This window comes from Homo sapiens, chromosome 1, assembly GCF_000001405.40.
Source record: "Homo sapiens chromosome 1, GRCh38.p14 Primary Assembly".
Lineage (NCBI taxonomy): Eukaryota > Metazoa > Chordata > Mammalia > Primates > Hominidae > Homo > Homo sapiens.
In genome coordinates this window covers 170,976,775-171,000,450 of record NC_000001.11, presented here as the reverse complement: position 1 = coordinate 171,000,450, position 23,676 = coordinate 170,976,775, and the positions used below count along the sequence as shown (strand labels likewise).

The 23,676-nt window shown below is 38.2% G+C and overlaps 1 protein-coding gene across 5 annotated transcripts in view; it reads right to left on the bottom strand.

Annotated features, from left to right (window-relative positions):
- The window catches only part of MROH9 (maestro heat like repeat family member 9), a 129,232-nt gene that overhangs the window by 64,315 nt on the left and 41,241 nt on the right, over positions 1–23,676 (bottom strand). For 2 of the 5 annotated variants that reach the window (NM_001163629.2, XM_011510006.3), the window contains exons 9-15: positions 16,917–17,029; positions 13,741–13,890; positions 10,448–10,596; positions 8,122–8,287; positions 4,920–5,062; positions 3,807–3,944; positions 2,177–2,297 (exon numbers count right to left, since the gene is read on the bottom strand). In NM_001163629.2, the coding sequence (NP_001157101.1) occupies positions 2,177–2,297; positions 3,807–3,944; positions 4,920–5,062; positions 8,122–8,287; positions 10,448–10,596; positions 13,741–13,890; positions 16,917–17,029 (980 nt within the window). Of the gene's footprint in view, positions 1–1,644; positions 2,298–3,806; positions 3,945–4,919; positions 5,063–8,121; positions 8,288–9,819; positions 9,954–10,447; positions 10,597–13,740; positions 13,891–16,916; positions 17,030–23,676 lie in introns of those variants that run through there. The other 3 variants (NM_025063.4, XM_011510005.3, XM_011510007.3) reach the window with 3 other exon arrangements.

Here is a 23,676-nt window from a genome sequence, read left to right as displayed (position 1 = left end):
CCTTTATGATTAAAACCCTCAGCAAAATCGGCATACAAGGGACATAGCTTAATGTAATAAAAGCCATCTATGAAAAACCCACAGCCAACATAATACTGAATAGGGAAAAGTGGAAAGCATTCCCTCTGAGAACTGGAAACTATAAAAATTCTAAAAGATAACATTGGAAAAAAAACTTCTAGACATTGGCTTAGACAAGGATTTCATGACCAAGAACCCAAAAGCAAATGCAACAAAAACAAAAATAAATAGCTGAGACCTAATTAAACTAAAGATCTTTTGCATGACAAAAGGAATAGTCAGCAGAGTAAACAGACAACCCACAGAGTGGGAGAAAATCTTCACAGCCTATACATCTGACAAAAGACTAATATCCAGGGTCTACAATGAACTCAAACAAATCAGTAAGAAAAAAACAAGTAATCCCATCAAAAAGTGGGCTAAGGACATGAATAGACAATTCCCAAAAGAAGATATACAGATGGCCAACAAACATATGAAAAAATGCTCAACATCATTAATAATCAGGAAAATGCAAATCAAAACCACAATGCAATACCACCTTACTCCTGCAAGAATGACAGTAATCAAGAAAATCAAAAAACAGTAGATGTTGTTGTGAATGCAGTGATCAGGGAACATTTCTACACTGCTGGTGGGAATGTGAAGTAGTACAGCCACTATGGAAAACTGTGTGGAGATCCCTTAAAGAACTAAAAGTAGAACTACCATTTATTTGATCCAGCAATCTCACTACTGGATATCTACCCAGAGGAAAATAAGACATTATTCGAAAAAGAAACTTTCACACACATATTTATAGCAGCACAATTCCCAATTTGAAAATCATGGAACCAACCCAAATGCCCATCAATCAATGAGTGGATAAAGAAACGGTGGTGTGTGTGTATATATATATATATAGATGGAATACTACTCAGCTAGAAAAAGGAATGAATTAACAGCATTTGCAGTGACCTGGATGAGATTGGAGACTATTATTCTAAGTGAAGTAACTCAGGAATGGAAAACCAAACATGGTATGTTCTCTGTGATATGTGAGAGCTAAGCTATGAGGATGCAAAGGCATAAGAATGATACAATGGACTTTGGGGACTTGGGGGAAAGAGTGGGAGAGAGCTGAGGGATAACAGACTACAAATATTGTGCAGTGTATGCTGCTCAGGTGATGGGTGCATCAAAATCTCACAAATCACCACTAAAGAATTTACTCATGTAACCAAATACCACCTGTACCCCAATAACTTATGGGGAAAAAAAAGAAACCCACCTGTAAATAGTCAACTAAAGATTGATAAAGAAGCCGAGAATAGACACCGGGCAAAGAATAGTCAATTCAATAAAAATAATGAGTCACGCAGTAAAATTAATGAGAGGTCAAAATAGACTGAGCATATTTGAAATCATTGATGACTACCACAATGTTCAGTTAAATTAATTTATGTATACTTTTGAAAGTTTTAGAAGTAGATGGTATAGTATAACAGTATGCTTTTCATAATTTATTAACCGTTTTCCTATGGTGTTTGAAATCACCTCAAAGTTTGAAAGTATTGGGCACTTCACCTTAGGTAATATGTGCCTATTATATTATTATTTTAATGAAAAAATTAGATTTGATAATTTCAGGTTATAAAGCCTTTATTTTTTGTAAACAAAAGTTTGTCAATTTGCTTGATTCCATTATAGTATTACAATACATGGCACAATATTGATATACAAAGTAATATGGTTCCACATCTTCATTTTACCCAGTTACTCAGCCAGTTCCTTTCTCCCTCTAGATGGTCAGAAGTACTGCCTAGATCCCAGATGTTAACTACCATCTTTATTAAACCCAATTATCCCTCAATATACTTTAACAATCATGCAGAAATATATAAACTGGTCCTAAAAAATAATTAGTTTTTGTACAAATTCACACCCCTAGAAACAGAGAAAAACCAACTGCTGGGGAAAGCTGAAGGGACAACTCTTCCATAACCCAGATCTAACTCCACACCTCTCCCCATCCGACTTCAGATATCTTTCATGATCTTAAGTCTTGGTAAGAACCAACATTCAGAGGGAGAGATACGAGAAACTGGAATTTTGATTTAAATTTGGGTAAGAAAAGGAAATGAGAACACAGCTGTTCACAGTCTACAAAACTCACTTCAGTGAGGAATATTAATACGATGACAGTGTCTTCTGACCTTCTAGGACCTTCTACTGAGAGCTTATAGAGATAACTCAGGGTCTCCGGAAACTGTGGAAAGTTATATTCACTGAGAGTTCTGTAAAAGAGAATAAGGCACTGAATTAGCAAAGGAGAAAACACCATGCTAATAGTGGCAAAGAGAGAATCATTATTCTAATATCTTGCACCTCCCAGATGAAAGATATTCTTTAATATTCCCTAAATAAATTGTCCCACTATGAATTCTACACATACTCTGGAGAATTACATATAACTGGATCCCTGTCAACATCTCTTTCCTTAATGTCACTTCTCTTTCCTGTCTCTCCCATCCTTTGCCACAGAACAGAATGTCCTATTTTAGTGCAAGCTCCCCATCAATTCTTGACTAAAGGGAGAGGAAATAAAAATCTAGTGCTTAGTCCAAGATGGCTGCATACAGGTCATCTTTGTGGTTTTGGACCAAGCTCTTCCTTTGAATGATGTAACGCCGATGAGAGTTTGGGACCGCCCTGGATTAGCCAGGAAAGGAGGTGATGAGCTCTGATTCACTATGCCATTCTCCAGAACACACTTGGGTGGTGGACAGCCTCACACTTGTACTGACATGGTGGCCTGGATCAGATCAGTAAGGGCAGAATTGCAAAGGATAACATGAGGAAGTTTCCATTTTAAGATTCCCAGTTGGTCTTCCAAACCAGTGCTTCTCAAACTGCAACGTGCAAACAGATCACCCTTGGGATATTGCTAAAATGCAGATTCTGATTCAGTAGGTCTGAGGTGGGCCATGAGATTCTGAATTTTTAACTCTCAGGTGATGCTGTTGCTGCTTGTCTGTGGACCCCACTTTGAGTAAGAATATCCAAAGTTACTTCTTAGATACCCTTAGAGTGACATTCAACTTGTGACAACTTGCAGGGTGCAGATGTACTACACTTTAACACAGCATGTGTTCCTGAAATCCATTTGCAAATGAGATGCTGTTATAAAAGCATCAAGGCCCCATAGACCACAAAGAGTGTAGTTTCTGGATCAGTCACAACTTGAAGTAGTCTTAGTCTGTCATGTTGTCAACAGCCCGTATTTTGATTCTTGATCAGAAAATCTGATCCCTACAATCAGAAACTTGCTGTTCACTAAAGGGTTAACTAGAAAACCCCCTTTCCAGTACAAGAAAAATAAAAGTTCTCTTCTATTCTTTTCCAAATTTATTTGGCTTGTTGAGTATAGGTTTTTACTGGACCTGTTTCAAGTGGAAACATGTCTAAAACTGATGCCTGCTGTGCAGGAATCAGCTAAAATCAGAGGGAAAAAACCAAACTCACTTCTAGTTTTCTGTATCTGTAAGAAAAGAAACCTGTTCTGTGGAGGGAGGATAATTGGGCATCTATGTTATCAGGTAAGAGGGCAAGAAAAAGGAAAAAAAATCACAAATAAAAACGCTTCAAAATAATTGAAGAAGTAGAAATCAAATAGCAACTCAGATCATTAAGAGAGATTTGGAAATTGGAATAGATGCCTATCTTGTTCCCGCATGGCTTATTGAAGGAAGTTGGAGAAGGTAGGATAGAGACCAAGAATCCTACACAGAGACCCCTGTTCTTACTTAGCAATAAAGCAGACTCCATGATAGTAACACAGATCTTCAGATAACTGGTCCCAGAAATTCTCCTTCATTAGAGTAATATCCACCTGTTGCAGTCCAGAACAATTCAGCAGAACTCTCAGGGCATCCTGGGCATACCTAAAGCCCCAAAAGAGAGCAAAGTCATCACATGCCGGTGATATTCAAAAAACTAAATACACATTACCTGCCTTTTAATCCCATCTTGGGCAGAATATAGGTTTTGAGAAAGGGGATGTCTCAATGGAAAAAGATTGCTAAATGTCCTTCATCTTCCCTGATTAACAGTACATGGGATAGGGGTTAAATTAAAATTGTGGCACACAAAATCTAGCATCAATCGCAGAACACCTTATTTGTTTATTATTACTAGCTTATTTGCAATAGATAATTTGAAAGAGATGTTCAATGACGCAATGACTTGCTAAAGATGTCCATTTTCTTCTATTAAATGAATAGGATATATTCTTATCTAGTTGGGATGCTTTGATGTATGTCATCTTAGAGAATAGGGCAAATAGTAGACAGGTGGGTTGAGATTTCCCTGCAGGGTAGCAAAATCAACTGTACACCCTTGGGCAAAATGGAATTGCCAAACTTCTATGTGGACAGACAACTGCACGTAGTCATAAACCCATATATCACATCTCCAACCACAAATTAACTTTCCAGTTCACAAAGTACACTTGAGCACATCATTTTTAATCTTATATGTATAATAACCCTGAGAGGTTACTAGCAGAAAGTAAGTAAATGGCAGAGCAAAAATGTATCTGACTTTGGATTTAATGCTCTGCTCTCTTTTCTGTGGTAGTCTCTTACTGATCTGATAGGCAGTGTGGTAGGAATCAACAGAGTTCTGTGGTCACGGCTCTTTATATACTACACATGCTCAGGGAAGGTGAACTAATTTTTAGGTACTTGGGCTGGTTACTTTTCTGAAGGCATTCTACCATTCAGAGGAGAGAAAACTGTAATAAATGAACACACCGCACATGGGACTGTAAAGAATCCCATATGAACCCAAGAGGGTAGAAGTATTGACAGCTGGACGCTTATCTCTTATTTAATCTGAAATAACCAGTTTTAACTCACAAAGCCCTGTCCTTGAGTATCGGTTTCAGCTCACTGTTGTAGAAGACTTGGAACATAAGAGTCGTCAAGAGCTGGGGGAAATACTGGGCCACCGCTTTCCTGTAGGAACCAAGAGGCAGAAAGGTGCACAGGGCCTGGCATGCCTATAAGGGAAGGAAATAGGAGGTAGAAATGTAAACATTTTTCTCTAAACCCGGTCAACCTTACTGAGGGGAGCAAGAGAGTGACTCTGCAACCCCTCCTTCAGCCTCCTTGAAGAAAACCTAAAGCACATATGGGTATCCATTCATTTAATAACAGCCGTTACATCAGTTGTGAGCTAGGAACTGTGTCAAGCCTACTACGGTAAGGAACTCTTAAGGCACTATACAAACACCCTGGATGACAAACCAGTGGGATGCAGGTTGGTTTCCAAGGTAGGCTTCCCTTCCAAGGTCCCCTTCCTATGTGGCCATGAAGAGCAGTCATACTAATAACCTAGGTCCTACCTGTGCTCAAACAATACAAGGAAGTGAGATATTTAAGGGGAAGGCAGGTCAGGTCACCAACAGATCATTTGGCCTATTGACTACTGCAATATGGGCGGGAGGTCACCACATCAGAAATATGGGTCTGGGCTATAATCTTAAAAGACACATTCCCAACTGCCATAATCCTGAATATTGAAATCCTGGGAGATCAAACTCCCAAAAATGTAACTCGGGAAAAATAATTTAAAAATTTTAAAGACGTGTTTACATTCTTAAAAATGAGATTTATTGGTTACCAGAGGCTGGGAAAGGGTAGTGGGATGGGGGAGGTGGGGATGGTTAATGGGCATAAAACAATAGTTAGAAAGAATAAATAAGATTATTTGATAGCACAACAGGGTGACTACTGTCAATAATAATATATTTTTAAATAAAGAGTGTAATTGGATTGTTTATAATTCAAAGAATAAATGCTTGACGGGATGGGTACCCCATTCTCTATGATGTGCGTATTTTATATTATATGCTGGTATTGAAACATCTCATGTGCCCCATAAATATATACACCTACTCTGTACCCACAAAAATAGAAAATTTTTTAAAAAATTAAAATGACATGTGAGAAACATGAACACATGACAGAAAACTTCATAGGTCTTTTTATACAATAAATTAGGCAATAATAACATATGTACTTTTCCAAACATAAAACACTTAGGTATACTAACAGCAGTCACGTGGGTAACAGTTATGGGCAGACAAACCATATTCACAAAGAAATAGCTTATATAATTGTGGTCATCTGAAATCCCTTGGTGGACAACCTAAGTCTTTTGACAAGACAGACCAATGGATCACCACCACATATGCAGTCACCCAAAGAGCCGAGATCTCAATACATTTTATCTTTCTTGAAAAAGGCAAATATACAAAAATGCATCACTTCATTTATTGAGGAAGTTTCAGCATTTTTATGTATAAGCGCAATGCTTACACACAAAGTCAATACAGTGACAATGCATCTTCATGGAGACAAATTTGCAAAATGCATAAAAATAATTAGAACCCTCTAAAAGTCTTTACATTTTTATCTGCAGTCTAGGAAATGAAATATGTAGTATATAGCAAATTGGAGAAAATAATGCTGACAACTTAAAATAGAGAGAAAAATACATTAAAAAGAAAATAAACACACTAAAAAGAAAATTCAACATATAAAAACAATAGGAATAAATTATGGGCAATTGCATAGAGGTGGTTCATAAGAGCTGGTCAACTTTTATGATCATTGATTATATTTTGAAGTCCTTTATTATGATGAATGGCTGTTATTTTTTCTTTTCTCTTTTACGGCATGGCTCTCCCTGGAGAATATGTTCACATTTATTTTATATGTGATGCTACTCTTTTTGAAATTCTTTTATGGTTTGACATACACTAACTCGAGCACTCCCTGTTAAATTTTCCCGTCTTCTGTGCCATGCTTTTATGATGTTTTGGCATGCAGAAATCTATTTCACATGCACTCATAGAAAGACCACAGATTTGGAGGAAACAATACTGATGGTTGAACAGCAACACCATTGCATAAGTGTCTTCTCCTACTGTACACACAATTAATTTCAAACCAGTCAGTAACTTTTCTGGCTTATTCAAGGCATATGTGGCTTTAATTTATCAAAAGCTCCTGGAATTTCATCAGCTGGAAGGAATGTCAATGCAAACAAATGACATATTTTACCACTAAAGTTTGCATCATTGCCATATTGCCTAGCTAATCCCCTCATCTGAATTTTCCTAGAAATGCTTTGGACTGAATGGAAAAAACAAACTTTATTAGTGACAACTTGAAATTCACTTTTAGAAGCCTTGATTGCACCTAATTCCAAACCTGTCATTACAGTTTGGGGATTCAATTAGATGATAGAAATTTTAGACTTTTGGGATTTTGATATTTTGGAATTTCGATATTCAGGATTATGGTGTTCAGGATTTTGCCTTTAGGGATTGTAATTGGCATCGTAGAAATACATATTCCAACATTTCACATTTGTGAAGCAATGCCAACTTTATACTACTCTGTCTCTGCAAGACCTTAATTTACTCCCAGGAGTGGTGATTTTGGTTTTCAGGAGAATAAAATGATGGACACAAATGAGATTAGGTCTTTCCATGACTACAAACGCCTACATGATCTAGCCAGTGGTTACTTCTCTCATATCATCTCCTATACTTTCATCTCCCTTGCCCAATTCACTCAGATTCTTTGGCTTCCTTGTATTCGCTGACATACAAGGTAAGTGTCCATCAATACGAGACTTTTCCCTTCTCTCAGTCTAGAACTCTCTAACTCAGATATATGTAAGGATCAAATCCTCACCTGATTCAGGTCTCTGATTAGATGCCAGCTCAGCAGAGAGGCCTGCCCTGACCAACTTACCTAAACCTTGCCAGTCACTTTCTTTCCTCCACACCACTATATATCTCTTTTAAGCTTTATACCATCTGACTTACAACACATTTATTTGTTCATTGTCTGTGTTTCTTACCAAAATGTAAGCTCCATAATAGGGCATAGCAAATAATAGACACTCAATAAATATGTGTTGCATGAATGGATGCATGAGAAGAGGACTGTGTTAAGAAAGTATGATTGAGTCTGTGGGCAGATAGGGATTTTCACAATCAGGAAAACAGTACTGAGAAGAAGAAACACTCATCGTGTTATTTACCGCCAAAGGCATCAAGTTGGTAATATCAAGAGAGAAACGTTTCCCTTCCGTTACGGTGTCCTCCATTTCCCCAGGCTTTCCTTTCAGTATCAATAAGATTGTCTTCAGCACGTGAGGGGCCACGCTCGCCTGAGAACATGCCGCCTTCCACATCTGTATCAGAGTGCTGCAAACACAGCCCCACCCCACACAATGAGAATCATGTTTGTCATGTCCTACTTGATAGAATAACAAGAATCAGGAAAATAGTCTTGGTTTTACATTTTTATATAGCAAAGACACTGCAGACATGTCCAAAGCAAACTGAGATTCCTATTTCCAAATGATCCCACAAACCTCTTATCCTAGAAAACAGAGAAAGAATTTAAATAAAACCTTATGGAAAATACCAGAGTCTGGTCTGCAAGTTCATTTCTACTGCAATTTAAATGTCTGTCTAGCTCACTGTCAAGAACTGATCAGCTTTCTGCAATCTATACTTCCTCTGTTCCTCTGGCCTTGTGACTTTGTTTGTTCAGGAATAATAGAATATTTAAAAACTGGCATGGGAATATAAATTAATATGTAGATTAATATAAAAATTAAAAAATCCTAAATAAAAATGAACTAATTAAATAATAAAAATAAAAACAAAACTGAGCTCAGAAGAGTGAGCCATTTTGTCAAATGTCACACAATGAGTGACACAGATGCTATTAAAATCCTGGCCTCTCAACCTCCAGTCCCCTAGCTCCTTTTCCTATATACTCGACACTCTTCAAGATTAGTCTTACTATTGCTTATCTTAGAAACTGCTATACATCTCTACACCGATGTATTTCTGATACCTTGCCAATTCATACTGGGTTCTGACACTTATTGCTCAGCCTTCTGTGTTTAGGTTCATCATATAGGTGCCTGATCCCTTGGAATATGGAAATACCCAGCTCTGTAGCACCCACTACCCACCTGCTCCTGCCTACAGGTCCCACTTAGAATCACATGGACATCAACTCTCATATGCCGTGTCTCCTTGTCTTACCACTTGTTCATACCTCTTGGCTGAGCAAATGTTCCATGTGTTTCTTTGGTTTAGTTTCACTCCAAATCCTGGCCTTTTCTACCTCAATCCTCACATAGAATTAGACCTGCTGGTAGCAGCTTTGATTAAGTTCACCTAACAAATTATGCCTGCTTTCTGTACTTCCTCAGCACATATTGCTTGTACCAGATTTATTGGCAATTTTTAGCTTGTATACATGTGGGTATATTCCCTCTCCTCAGCAAAATGCTTGAGGGCCAGTAATACTTTACACAAAGTGGGTGCTTAGTTCCTGGATGAGTAAATCATCTTACAAAGATCTTTCTAGGAATTTTATGAATAGTAAAATACTTTGTGAGTTAAAGCTTCCTAAATAAATACCATCTTTCAGTCTGAAAAATAAAGTTATGTGATTTGTTTAGAGTTTTGTTTATTTCAATGCCCTTTCACAGACATTAACTAACTAAGCAACCCACATAACATATCTATAGATAGAACTTTCCTCATTTTCTAGATGAGGAAATTTAGCATCGGGGAGTTTTATCAAACTTGCATAATGTCACATAAAATGTAAGGGTCAAAGTTGATGGAAACAGATTCATTTGTTTCCAAAGCCCAAGTCCTCTTCAAAATAAAACTCTCTGCCTTTTACACTGTTCATAGTAGAGAAGTAGTACCTTGATTTCCAATGTTTATGCCAATTGTAGAAATGGAGTGGTGTGATTTTTCTAAGCTCTTCTAATGTGCCTGTTAGGTTCATATTGTCCCATAGACTCGCGTTTGTATTTTTTTCTTCTTAAACTTTTCTTGTGATCCTGGATCATAAATTTCAGTCTAATAGTTAAAGGACACAGGACTCCCAATTTTAATGCTGTTATTGGTATGTAGAAATATCTTATGTCTGTCCTTCATAAACAAGAAAAACACTACATGTACAAATTTATTTCCTCAACAAAAATGAGTAAATTCACAAACGGGAATAAAAATCCATTATCACATTGAGGAGAGGTTTGTTCCTCTGGGATGTGCAACAGAACACAATTTAAAGCCTCAGATAAATAATAGTGACATTGGTCATATCTTGTGGGCCTATTGTGTTTTAGGTATTATACAAAGATATGCATAACACATATGATCTTATCTGAGTCTTACAAGTATCCCACATGGTGCAAAAATAGATTTTCTCTTTCAGAAAAAAGAAACCAGGCCTGACTATGGTAGATTGAGAGTTGAACCCAGGTCCATCTGACAGTGCAGCCTGTGAACAAGCCCTTGTGGAAGGGACAGAGGGTTGGGGGGCCTTACTCGTCTGCTGGAACTGGGTAGTCCATAAGTTGAAAGATGACCTTCTTGGGTGAAGTGCATGTCAACAAAGTGATAACCTGCAACATAACATCCTTCATACAATTGTTATCACACAGTTGCCTGTAAATAGCATCCACGATCTTAGACACCTGGAAGAGAAATTCCACAGGTAAACAAGAATCTCCTGTTCCATGGTCACCTCTAAACCAAGGCATTTCTTGGACATAAGAATTCACTTTTTCTCAGAATTACCAAAGCAGCAACTAACATACAGATAAGCACTAGTAGAAAGCATATTTACATGTGTGACTACACAATGCAAAATATTCATCTGGATGAAGACTAAATCTGTGCATTTATGAATAGCGGGAAAATGCCCATTTCTTTAAAAGTTTATTTTGGGAGGGTTGAATTCATTACATAAGAAATATAAGCTCGGTATAGGAAACATACATATAATTCAAGTACTTAAAGAAAATCAAAATAATGGAACAGAATAACAATGGAGCTACAGTGTATACTTCAAAGAAAACTTTTGCAAGTTAAAGACGATTTGAATCCACATATTGAAGGGATGAACCATGTATTGGAGGAATGACCCAGAATGGTAAACACTAACCCACAATGTTGCAAACTCTACTCGTAGGTCCCATGTTAGTGTCATTTTTCCCCCTTTTTACTCATTCTTGAACAAGGAGAGTTCTAACTGGATCTGAAATTTGTTTCAAATCAGTGGCTGTGTATTCAATATCAAATTTAATCCACTCAGATCATCTCACTTCTTATTTTGAAAATAATCCATTGCATTTTTTTCTTCTTAAATTTTTCTTGTGATCCTGGATCATAAATTTTAGACTAACAGAGATTATAAGCTGAAAAATTAGTTGATGCAAATTTACATTACCCTGCAGTTACATCATATACAGTTCATTTATCTGTACAACTTTCTATGGCAAACAAAAGAAAAAATTATAAATGTTAAAAAGTGCAGGGTACTTTTCCAACCACGTAGGTTCCAAGGTGAGCAAGAAATGAGAGATATCAAACTACTCTTTTCCACAGACCTTTTAAGTATAGGATTTAGAGCTTCTTCTAGTTGTCCTCTTCCTATTTTAAATGCAAATACCTCTAAAGCAAGCCACCTATGTCACTGGGTGCTTAATTATAGAAATTTATGCTAATTTAGGTCCAGTTATAAAAATGATGGTCTGTTTCAATTTTGATGAAATATTTGATGTGTTAGGATTATTTAGAGATTATAAGCCCATATACTGTATATGCAATTTGGGGGATTTTTAGGGATGTTTTTAGCCTTATAACTCATTTTAGAACCTAACCCCATCTAAGACAAGAATCCACTGTTTTCAGTAGTCCAGTTGCTTGTGGGAGCTGGGGTTGGGTCATAAATTGAGGAGCCCATTTTGTTCATTTTGTTTCTGTGGTTAGAGATTTCACTGTAGCAGAAGCTAGTTTTACAAATCTAGTTTTCTGTTTGGTCTCTCTTTCTCTCAGGGACTTGGTAAGCCTTCATCTCACCTTCCTTTGAGTGCTCTTTCCCACTTCACTAGAAGAGAACTCTATTTTGTAAGATGACTCTTGCCCTTCACCTTTCCCTGTGGTTGTGTTTGCCCTACAGAATGCTCCCATCTGCAGCAGCATTGAGAGTTCTATATAAAGCATCTCCTCCCCTTTCCTGCTCTATGAATTTGAGTAAGACTTCTCAGATTATTTTCAGTCACCTTGCACTCCTGTGTCAGGAGAGGGAACTGGAGGTTCATTCCTCATGTCACCATCAGGACTGGTTTCATGGGCCTGTGACCTATGTGTTTGCACAGGGCTCCATGCTGAGAAGGTACCCTTACTTTGTTTAAAGCTCTGCCACTATCACCTTGAACTTTTAAACAATTTCATCTTTGTATTTTGTAAATCAAGTCCCATGGGACAGTGGAGCAGAGGACATACAGTATGTGAGTCTGCCATTGTTCCTGTGGTCCCATTCACATGTGGTGTTCACAAAATGCCAGGGGACCGATGATGTGAAGCTCAGTGGAAAAACAAGATAAGCATCTTATTGAAACTGTAACCTACTTTAAAAATTCCCACTTAGTCTGAAAATGACATAGAAGGAAACAGAAAGGGTAGGCCATAAATTATTTTCCTTTCAGGCTTTCCTTACTCATCAATAAGCTGAAGGTAGAGAATGTTGGTAGGATATATGAATGATAAAAATTGAAATTTTAAAAGTCGAGCTAGTTTTACATAGTGTTTCCACCCTTTTGGAAAGAATGTAATACGTATGCATGTGTGAGCTGTGAAACACAAATAGCATTATTTTGGTGATTCTGCACATGAGCTAAATGCACCTATGCTTATGTTTGTAACTGGCATTGCACAATATATGTATGGATAGTAAAATTTGTGCTCACGACTAAAAAATGTTAATTGTTCTTTTTGCTTAGAAAGACGTTAAATAGCAAATAAAACCAGCATGAAGAATTGAGAGAGAGAGACTGTGGAGGAAAGGCGAACACTGCATGTGCTTACACATTTAATGACATTATTTCCTATGTTGTAAGGAAGCAGTCCCAGATTTCGTTGTGCACTGAGCCCCACAAATTATGTAGCCAGCTCTACGCAAGCTGAGAGTCTTTGAAATCATTCCTTAAGGGATACACAGGGGATTTCAATTACAGCTATACTATTTTATTGCTGTTAATGTATTTCTTTAAAAATTCTAAAGCAAATATGGCAAAATATTATGATTTAATATGATTGGTGGATAAGCATTCATTACTTACTCTCTAAAATTGTTCGTATGCTTGAAATATTTCACACAAAAAATTCTCAGGCCAGGCATGGTGGCTCATGCCTGTAACCCTCATGCTTTGGGAGGCCAAGGTGGGAGGGTTGCTTGAGCCCAGGAGTTTGAGACCAGCCTGGGCAACATAGTTAAGACCTCCATCTCTACAAAAATTCGTTTAAAAAATTAGCCGGGTGTGGTGGTACATGCCTGTAGTCCCAGCTGCTTAGGAGGCTGAGGTGGGAGGATTGCTTAAGCCCAGGAGTTTGAGGCTGCAGTGAGCCAAGGTTTCACCACTGCACTCCAGCGTGAGCCACAGAGCAAGACCCTGTCTCTAAGTAAAATTTAAAAAACCAAAAGCCTCATTATATTGAAGTCATATAATGAACAATGACAAGAAATACATATAAAAAGAAGTGGACATACAACACAGGCAAAAATGCACATTAGAGAGTAAACCCTGTGCTCTCCTGCTTATTGTCAAGTATCTTACCATGGTGACCTTCTCGGCATGAAATTCCAGAGTAAATATCAGTATGGATGCTGCATCAGATGCGATTTTATCATCAGGTGAAGAGAGTTTCATCAGGAGACTCTGCACAAAGTCAGTCAGCAAGGGAGGCAGTAAGGTTTGCCCTACTCTCTGCAACCACAAAGGATAATCATGACCTCAGGCCTTACTCACACCAACATAAGACAGCTAAACTCAGACATGGTGGGGGATGCTCAAGAGCCAAGCAGGGCCACAAGTCTTCCGTGGGCCATATACATCTTGTTGGAGTCTCTCTCTTCCATGAAAAATATTAAAAATTATACTTTACAACAATGTTGGTACAAAAATGACTATAATCCAAGTGAAATTATGTTTAATTTTTTTCTTCTGATTTTAAAGCAATTCAGCTGTTCAAATATTATCATGAATTTATTCAGTTTTGGAAATGAGTTTGCTCCAATCAGAAACAACTATGAAGAAAGCAGAAGATGCAGGAGGGGACAGAGTGAGGAAGTCAAGGGAATCAAAGGCATGGACTTTCCTCTTTTACAGAAAGGGATCAGGAAGCAGAAAGAAATAAAAGGCCTTTATGTCCATGATCAAGGTGCAAGAACTACAATTCAAATAATCCCTTTTTAAAGTTAGAGGACTATCCATGGATTGTAAAATTTGAACAAACTCACATTGATTATAGATTCCTCAAAGAAAGATAAACGAGCCAAATTTTCTCCTTTTGCCTTTATATGGAAAAAAAAAAAGTCATTCTCCCAAGTACAGAGGATACCCAATCTCACCAATAAAGGTTTTTCTTCACTCTCCTTAAAGGGATGGAGTATTGCTTTTTGGTCATAAGGCAGAACTAAGGTCTGAGTGAGAATTGATGATCACTAGCTCCTCTCCCACTGGGCAGAGGGGTGATGGAAGGGAATCTTGGAAAGCTATGGAAGAAAATTAGAGGGGGGTAACCAAGGCTTGGAGAGGGGGGCTGAATATCATAAATAGTTTGCCCTACTTTAAGAGAGCCAGATTTAATTATATGACACTGGATTTTTAAAAAATATTGGAGGGCAGAATATTCTCTTCTTGAATATTTGCTTACTCAACAAGAAATTTAGTATCTATCTAAAAAGTTGTAGAAGAAGCAATTCCCAGTGAAACTTAGAGCCAGTGTTAGAAGTTTCTGTCATGTACAGGTGAAGATGTGACAGTAGATTATATAAAATGGTAGGTTTGCTTTGTAAAATATTATCTACACGTAACTCTCCAGAAATACACCAATCACACAGGATCAGCTGGGTTCTTCAGAGGTCATTTTTATCTCCTCCTGCTTCTTACTGCTACGCCGTGTTGTTACATGTTCTTGATGCCGCTTGCTTGAATGTTTGCATAATATACTATTAACTTAATAGTCCACAGATTTTCATTTATTCCTCTATGTTTGGCATATACTTTAAAAAATCTGTGAAGAAGCTCTTCTCACAAATAATGGTGCCATTTTGAGTTATTTCTTTCTATAAATTCCCATGAGTGACACTATTAGTTTATTTGGTATGAACATATATAAACATATATTTTTAGTTAATGACACTTTTGTGGCTCTCTGTGGATCCTTTGCAAAACAGTGTCCTCTCTTACAACCAACCACTATATAAAATGAGAGTGCCATAGTTTGGGAATTGTTTTCGGTTTTGTTTTTCAATCCAGCCCTCCCATTTAATGGTGCTTTGCTTCCAGCTTCCATGGTTAGCAACCTTGCTGCTTCTGCCCCTATTTGCATGCTTTGAACTTTGTCTTTGGCTATAGGCCTCTTGGTCTTGTTTCTACAATCTTGTATTCTCTCAATTTACCTGTTCCATCTACTACTGGAAGTCCCAACTCCAGGTTTTCCAGCTACTGTTCCCGCATGTAGTGCTGGGCTTGCTTTGGTCTCACAATTGGGAAATGAATAACAGGTCATGAACACAAGGACCCAGGGTACCTCCCGCAAGCCCAAGGATTTTTACACCTGATGGACATTAAACTCAGATAAGCAAGGACACCAACCTAGAGGCTGTGATGATAAGTCTCATGAACAGCTTAGGAGAGGCCCCAACAGACTGCTGGTCCTAGGTTCACTAGCCCAGTCATGGTACTCAGGATTTCAATTCCAGGATACTGGAGTGGAGGATGGAAGGATGAGGGAAGATTTGCTAGTAAACTTAAACAGATGCCTGGTTTCTTCATGTAAATGAACATAGTCATCCAGGCTTGAAATTTTTGAGAGGAGGTGGGAAAGAATAACTTTTGATTTTGGAAAGATGTACCATTGGGCTTCTACATATTTAAGACAGCTATGCAGTATTTTTGACCATACCATGTTAGATGTATTGCTTCTGCATATCCTCAGCCTCCCACAATTCAACCCATCTCAGCCATGGAAGAAGACACTGCTTTATACATGTAGTTTTAAGAGGAACCCCTAGATCCTCCCACCCCAAGAGATGAGCTAGCCTAACGGGTTTCCTCAGAAGTTTTGCTGAACTACTAGCTCAACGTGTGTGGCTGGAAGGTGCTGGAAATCCCAACCTGGGCCCCAATGCTGTGCAACTTCTGGAGCCTATGGCTAAACCTATGTAGTCTGAAGAAGGTGAGGGAGAATATATGGCTATAGAGCCTCACAGTTCTCCCAAGGGTCGAGACAGTGTAAAAACTACTTACTTGGTACTGAGGTTTATCATGTAGGCTTTTTAAATTTTTATTTTTCATTTAATAGCGCTTTTAAACAAAATCAAAATCACAGTGTCATTATGATGTTTGCAGATTAAATTATGATAGTATTGGAAAGTCTGTTAACTGACGACTGTTAATTTTTCTAAATAAGCAGAAGTTCTCCATTTTTAGTGAACTATTTGTTGGCCAAACAAAAAGAAGTGTAACTAGGAAATACCTCATTTGCTTTCTATAAGGATTAAGTAAAGTAATACAAATTACTATATTTGGGAATAATAGGCATAACTACTATTAATAGAGATGAAAATCAGAAAACTAAATGGTCTATAATCATTTACATTTTATCACACTGAGTTTAAAAAAAAACGAAAAAATACTAACGACATAAACTTTGTTGAAATAAATTGTTACTAAGAGTAATCATACACATAAACAAAAGCCCTCGGAAAAAGTGGGGGCTAAGTTACCTGAGCTATTTTACTTTCGTCTTGTTGAAACTCCTTGGGTAGAAATTCTACATCAGAAGAAGGAAACTGGAGGCTATGACTTTTACCGTTTGTAGGCTTATTTGTTCCAATATCTGCTTTGTTAAGAAAAAGAGTTTCAGGTTGTTATTTGATCACTTGTTTGTTCTATGACATTACTATTTCCAATTTTCTTTTCCTGCCCAGTTCTGGAGATCTGAAGTTTTCCGAATATTTAACTCTCTGCTCATAGTTTAGTCTCATAAAATTTTATGGCACTCACACAGAATTCATAAAGTGTTTAAGAGAGTCCATGTGACATATGAATGGACAAATACTTTTAATAATAGCCTGACAAGATAACAAATATATATAGACCATCAAATGCATGGTTCAGTGTGCTGGAAAAGCTAATGCTAAGCTGGAGGGTCTATTGGCAGGGAAAGTAGACTTGGAGGCAACTGAAATGAGCTGAGGAGTGGTAGACCAGGGAATCCAGAAGTGCTCAGCAAAAGCTTCAGGTGCAGATAACTTCAGTTCTGGAGAAGGTGAGCTTTAAATGATTTTGTTTGTTTTTAAATAGCTCTATAGAGATATAATTGACATTTATTTACTGATTTTGTTTTTGTTTTTTGTCTTTTTTGAGCCCGGATCTTGCTCTGACACCCAAACTGAAGTCCAGTGGTACAAACAGGGTTCACTGCAGCCTTGACTTCCTGGGCTCAACTGATCTTCTCACCTCAGCCTCCCCAGTAGCTGGGATTGCAGGTACATGCCACAGTGCCCAGCTAATTAAAAATATACATATTTCGTAGAGATAGGGTCGCACTATGTTGCCCAGGCTGGTCTCCAACTCCTGGGCTCAAGTAATCTGCCCGCCCAGGCCTCCCAAATTGCTGGGGTTACAGGTGTGAGCCACCATGCCCAGCCCATATAACATATCTAAGGTGAACAACTTGGCAAGTTTTTGTGTATCTATACACTCAGTAAAACATTACCACAGGAAAAAAAATGAACATATCTATTGTCTCCAAAAGTTTCCTCATGCCCTTTTGTAACCCCTCACACCTAATCCCTGTATCCATCCTCTGACTCCAAGGCAACCACTTATCCACTTCTTGTCATCTGCTCTCTGTCAAGTTGGTACTTTCTAATTTTATATAAGTGGATCATACCATATATACTCTTTTTTGGGGGGATTGGCTTCTTTCACTCAGCAAAACTACTGAGATTCATCCATGTTTTCGTACATATTAATAGTTTGTTCTTTTTTACTGGAATAATAGTATTCTATTATATGTACATACCCAAATCTCTTTATCTATTTGCTTGTTAATGGACATTTAGGTTGTTTCCGGTTTGAGGCTATTACAAATAATGGTGTTATGAACATTCATGTACCAGTAAGTGTTTGTACGAACAATTGCTTTCATTTCTCTCAGGTAAATATAAAATTGTGTTATGACTGAATCATATGATAGCTATATGTTTAACTTTTTAGGATAGTGCCAAATTACTTTCCAAAGTTGTTATACCATTTTACAGTTTCACCCGCAATGTATGTGAGCTCCAGTGACATCCTTAACAACACATAGCAGAATCAGTCTTTTTAATTTTAGACATTCTAATGAGTGTGTAGTGGTATCTCATTATAGGTTTAATTTACATTTCTTTAATAAGTATATATAGAACATTATTTGATTTGCTCCTTTGCTATCTGTGCTTCTTTGGCTATTTAAATCCATTTTTATTTTTTATTTGGTTGTCTTTTTTCATAGAGAGTTTTTTTTTTTTATTTCTTCTAAAAAAAAAGCGGAAGGGGATACATGTGCAGAACGTGCAGGTTTGTTCCATAGGTACACATGTGCTGTGGTGGTTTGCTGCACCTATTGACCCGTCCTTTAAGTTCCCTCCCCGCACCCCCCACCTCCAACAAGCCCTGGTGTGTGTTGTTCCCCTCTCTGTGTCCATGTGTTCTCAATGCTCAACTCCCACTTAAGAGTGAGAACACGTGGTTTGGTTTTCTGTTCCTGTGTTAGTTTGCTGAGGATAATGGCTTCCAGCTTCATCCATGTCCCTGCAAAGGCCATGATCTCATTCCTTTTTGTGCCTGCATAGTATTCCAGTGTATATATGTACCACATTTTCTTTATCCAGTCTATCATGGATAGGCATTTGGGTTGGTTCCATGTCTTTGTCATTGTAAATAGTGCTGCAATAAACATATGTATGCATATGTCTTTATAGTAGAATGATCTATATTCCTTTGGGTATATACCCAGCAATGGGATTGCTGGTTAAATGGTATTCTGGCTCTAGAACCTTGAGGAATCACCATACTGTTTTCTACAATGGTTGAATTAACTTACATTCCCACCAACAGTGTAAAAGTATTCCTATTGCTCCACATCCTCCATCTATTGTTTCCTGATTTTTGAATAATCACCATTCTGACTGGCATGAGATGTTATCTCATTGTGGTTTTAATCTGCATTTATCTGATGATCAGTGATGTTGAGGTTTTTTCATGTTTGTTGGCCATGTAAATGTCTTCTTTTGAGAACTGTCTGTTTGTATCCTTTGCCCACTTTTTGATGGGGTTGTTTGTTTTTTTCTTGTAAATTTTTTTAAGTTCCCTGTAAATTCTGCATATTAGACCTTTGTCACATGGATAGATTGCAAACATTTTCTCCCATTCTGTAGGTTGCTTATTCACTCTGATAATAGTTTCTTTTGCCGTGCAGAAGCTCTTTAGTTGAATTAGATCTCATTTGTCAATTTGGGCTTTTCTTGCAATTCCTTTTGGTGTTTTATTCATGAAGTCTTTGCCCATGCTTATGTCCTGAATGGTATTGCCTAGGTTTTCTTCTAGGGTTTTTATGGTTTTAGGTTTTACATTTAAGTCTTAATCCATTTTGAGATAATTTTTGTGTAAGATGTAAGGAAGGGGTCCAGTTTCAGTTTTCTGCATATGGCTAGACAGTTTTTCCAGCACCATTTATTAAACAGAGAATTCTTTCCCCATTGTTTGTTTTTGTCAGGTTTGTCAAAGATCAGATAGTTGTAGATGTGTGGTGTTATTTCCGATGTCTCTGTTATGTTGCATTGGTCTATATGTCTGGTACCAGCACCAATGTTCCATTGGTCTATATGTTTGGTACAAGTACCATATTGTTTTGGTTACTGTAGCCTTGTAGTATAGTTTGAAGTCAGGTAGCATGATGCCTTCAACTTTGTTCTTTTTGCTTAGGACTGTCTTGGCTCTACGGGGTCTTTTTTGATTCCATATGACATTTAAAATAGTTTTTTTCTAATCGTGTGAAGAATGTCAATGGTAGTTTGATAGGAATAGCATTGAATCTATAAATTACTTTAGGCAGTATGGCCATTTTCATAATATTGATTCTTTCTATCCATGAGGATAGAATGTTTTTCTATTTTTTTGTGTCCTCTCTTATTTCCTTGAGCAGTGGTTTGCAGTTCTCCTTGAAGAGGTCCTTCACATCCTTTGTTAGCTGTATTCCTAGGTATTTTATTCTCTTTGTAGCGATTGTAAATGGGAGTCCATTCATGATTTGGCTCTTTGCTTGCCTATTGTTGGTGTAAAGGAATGCTTGTGATTTCTGCACATTGATTTTGTATTGAGATTTTGCTAAAGTTGCTTATCAGTTCAAGAAGTTTGTGGACTGAGATGATGGGGTTTTCTAAATATAAAATGATGTAATCTGCAAACAGAGATGACTTCCTCTCTTCCTCTTACAGAGTTTTGATGTCCTTTATGAACTTTGAATATGGGTCTTTTATCAGATATGTAGTTTGCAAATATTTTCTCCCAGTCTGTGGCTTAACTATTAACAGTATCTTTCAAAGAGCAGAAATACCTAATTTATCATTTATTTTCATTTATACTTTGACTATTGTATCTAAGAAATCTTTGCCTAATCCAAGGCCCCCAAAATTTCTTTGAGTTCTATAGTTTTAGATTTTACATATAGTTCTGTTACTCACTTTGGATTAATATTTGAATATATATGAAGTATAGATCAAAGTTGTTTTTCTGCCTATAAATATCCATTTTTTCCAAACGCAATTTATTGAAAAGTTTTTGCTCACTCCTTTAAATTGCCTTTGAAACTTCATAAAAAATCAACTGACTATATATATGGATTTATTTCTGGACTCTCAGTTCTATTCTGCACAATGTTGAATAGAATAGAACTAATGACAGTGCACATCCTTGCCTTGTTTCTGATGTTTCAGGGAAATCATTCAGTATTTCACCATTAAGTGCAGACATAACCTCAAAAGATACTACAGGTTTGGTTTCAGATCACTGCAATAAAGTGATTATCACAATAAAGTAACCCACGTTAATTTTGTTGGTTTCCCAGCACCTATAAAATGTATGTTTACACTATGCTGTATTCTATTAAGTATGCAATAGCATTATGTATAAAAATATACATATCTTAATTAAAGACATTTTATTGCTACAAAATGCTAACAATCATTTAAGCTTTCACTGAACAGGTTCTCCTGGCTTGGATCTCCAGCAATCCCTCACCAGGGCTATTGAGCCAGTAGCATCTCTGCAACTCCCTGGGACAGACCTCCCTGGGAGGGCGAGTTGCCCTCTTTGCTGTCTTATAACCCTTACTGTCTCCAGGTTCTTGAGAGTCTGTGGGGACCAAAGGCTGGTCTGGATTCCCAGCACAGAGCATTCCTGACATGAAAAAGTGGCTGGGCTATTTTCCACACAGGTCTCAGTCCTTCTCCTCACCAGACAGGGCCTCTTGACCTTGGACTCCAGCACAACCACCCTGCTCCCACCTGTCCCCTTCAATCAGAGGCAGCCCAGAATTTCTCTGAGTAGAAAATCCCAGAGTCAACCCACAATACCTCCGCGACTGCAATTGCAGTAGTACTCCCTTAGCAGCCCTTGGGCTAGGGGAAGGAACAAAGGGCCTAGTCACTATGCTGGCACCTCCAACACACTCCAGCCACAAAAGGAAAAGGAGTCTAGCCCTTATTCCCTGGAAATACCCAACCCCCACTCCTCACCAGCCAGGGCCCCTGGCTTACAACTGCAGAATGGTCACCCACAACCATGGCTGAGCATATCCACTGGTAAGTGGCTGGAGTCTCCCTGGGGAGAGGCTCCCAGAGGTGTTTGACAGCCCCTCTGCTACTGCCACAGCAGAGTTCTATCCCTGCTGCCCTCAATTTGGGGAAGAAATGAGCCTGAGGGCTACACCTGAGCTTATAGCACACCACAGTCACTGTAGGGAGAGGAGACCAATCTTTCCACCTGGAGAGCCTTTGAACCCCTGCTCTCCAACAAGCATAACCCCAAGCTCATACCAGCAATTTAGCTGTCCCACCCTACTGGCTGAACAATCTCAGTAACAGCAGCTCCATGTTTCTTGGAAGTAGAGCTCAAGGGGGCAAATGAAAACTCCTCTGCCACTGCCTCTGCAATGGTACTATCCCTGCTACCCTCAGACTAAAGAAGGAGCAAAGACTGTAAATACCTAATCTGCAACTCCAGCAAGTTACAGTCAACCCAGAGAAAGGGGGCCAGTCTGTCTCCTGTGGGTTCTACTCATGTTCCCTGCTCATCACCAGGCAGGGAACTCCTAGCTTGGGCCCACAGCACAGACCTTCAATCCTGGGTTGATTGCACTGAGCAATTGCTGACCTGCATCTCTCTGGTGTGGAGCCTCCAGAAGACAAGTAAAAGATCCTTGGCCACACTCACTGCTGAGGTCCCTTTCTCTGCTGCCTCCGAGTTGGGGAGGAAACATAAACCTTGAAATCAACCCAGAGTTGTGGTAGGCATCCTGGAAGTGCCAAGCCATGATCTATAGCCAACACTTAAGTGGGAAAGGAGCCCATGCTTTCGGGGCACTGAGAAGAAGCACAGCTGCTACTGTAAGGAAATATAGGGGAGCCACAACTGAGCAAGAGTCTACCAACTGATCACTGTGCCTAAGTGCCATTGACCAGACCAGATCACACCCTAAAGCTTCAACAACAAAATATCTCACTAACATACCCTACCATGAAACCAAAGATGAGAAGTCAGATACAAATACAGACCCTGTACAAGGCTCAGTCCTGTGAAGACATCCAGAAAGGAAGTCTACTGACTATACTCAATCTCCACTGCAGTTAAAGGGATACCCTCATGCCGAACTGAGAAAGAATGAGTAACTCAAATAGCTAGAGTGTCTTGTGTCCTCCAGATGGCTGAAATAGTTCTCCAACAAGGGTTCTTAACCAGGTTGGATTGACTGAAATGACAGAAATATAATTCAGAATATGGCTAGGAATGAAGATCATTGAGATTCAGGAGAATAGCAAAACCCAGTCCAAGGAAACTAAGACTCACAATAAAATGATACAGGAGCTGACTGATGAAATAGCCAGTATAAAAAAACCTAACTGGCCTGATAGAGCTGAAAAACACACTACAAGAATTTCAAAATGCAAATGCAAGTATTAACAGCAGAATAGATGAAGCTGAGGAAAAAAATCTTGAAACTTGAAGACTGGCTCTCTGAATTAAGGCAGTCAGAAAAAAAAGAAAAAAAAGAAACCAGAATGTAAAGGAAAGAACAAAACCTCCAAGAAATACAAGATTATATAAAGAGGCCAATTCTATGTGTTATTGGCATCCCTGCAATAGATGGAGAGAAAGCCAACAACTTGGAAACATTTCAGGATATCATCCATGAAAACTTCCCCAACCTTGCTAGACAGG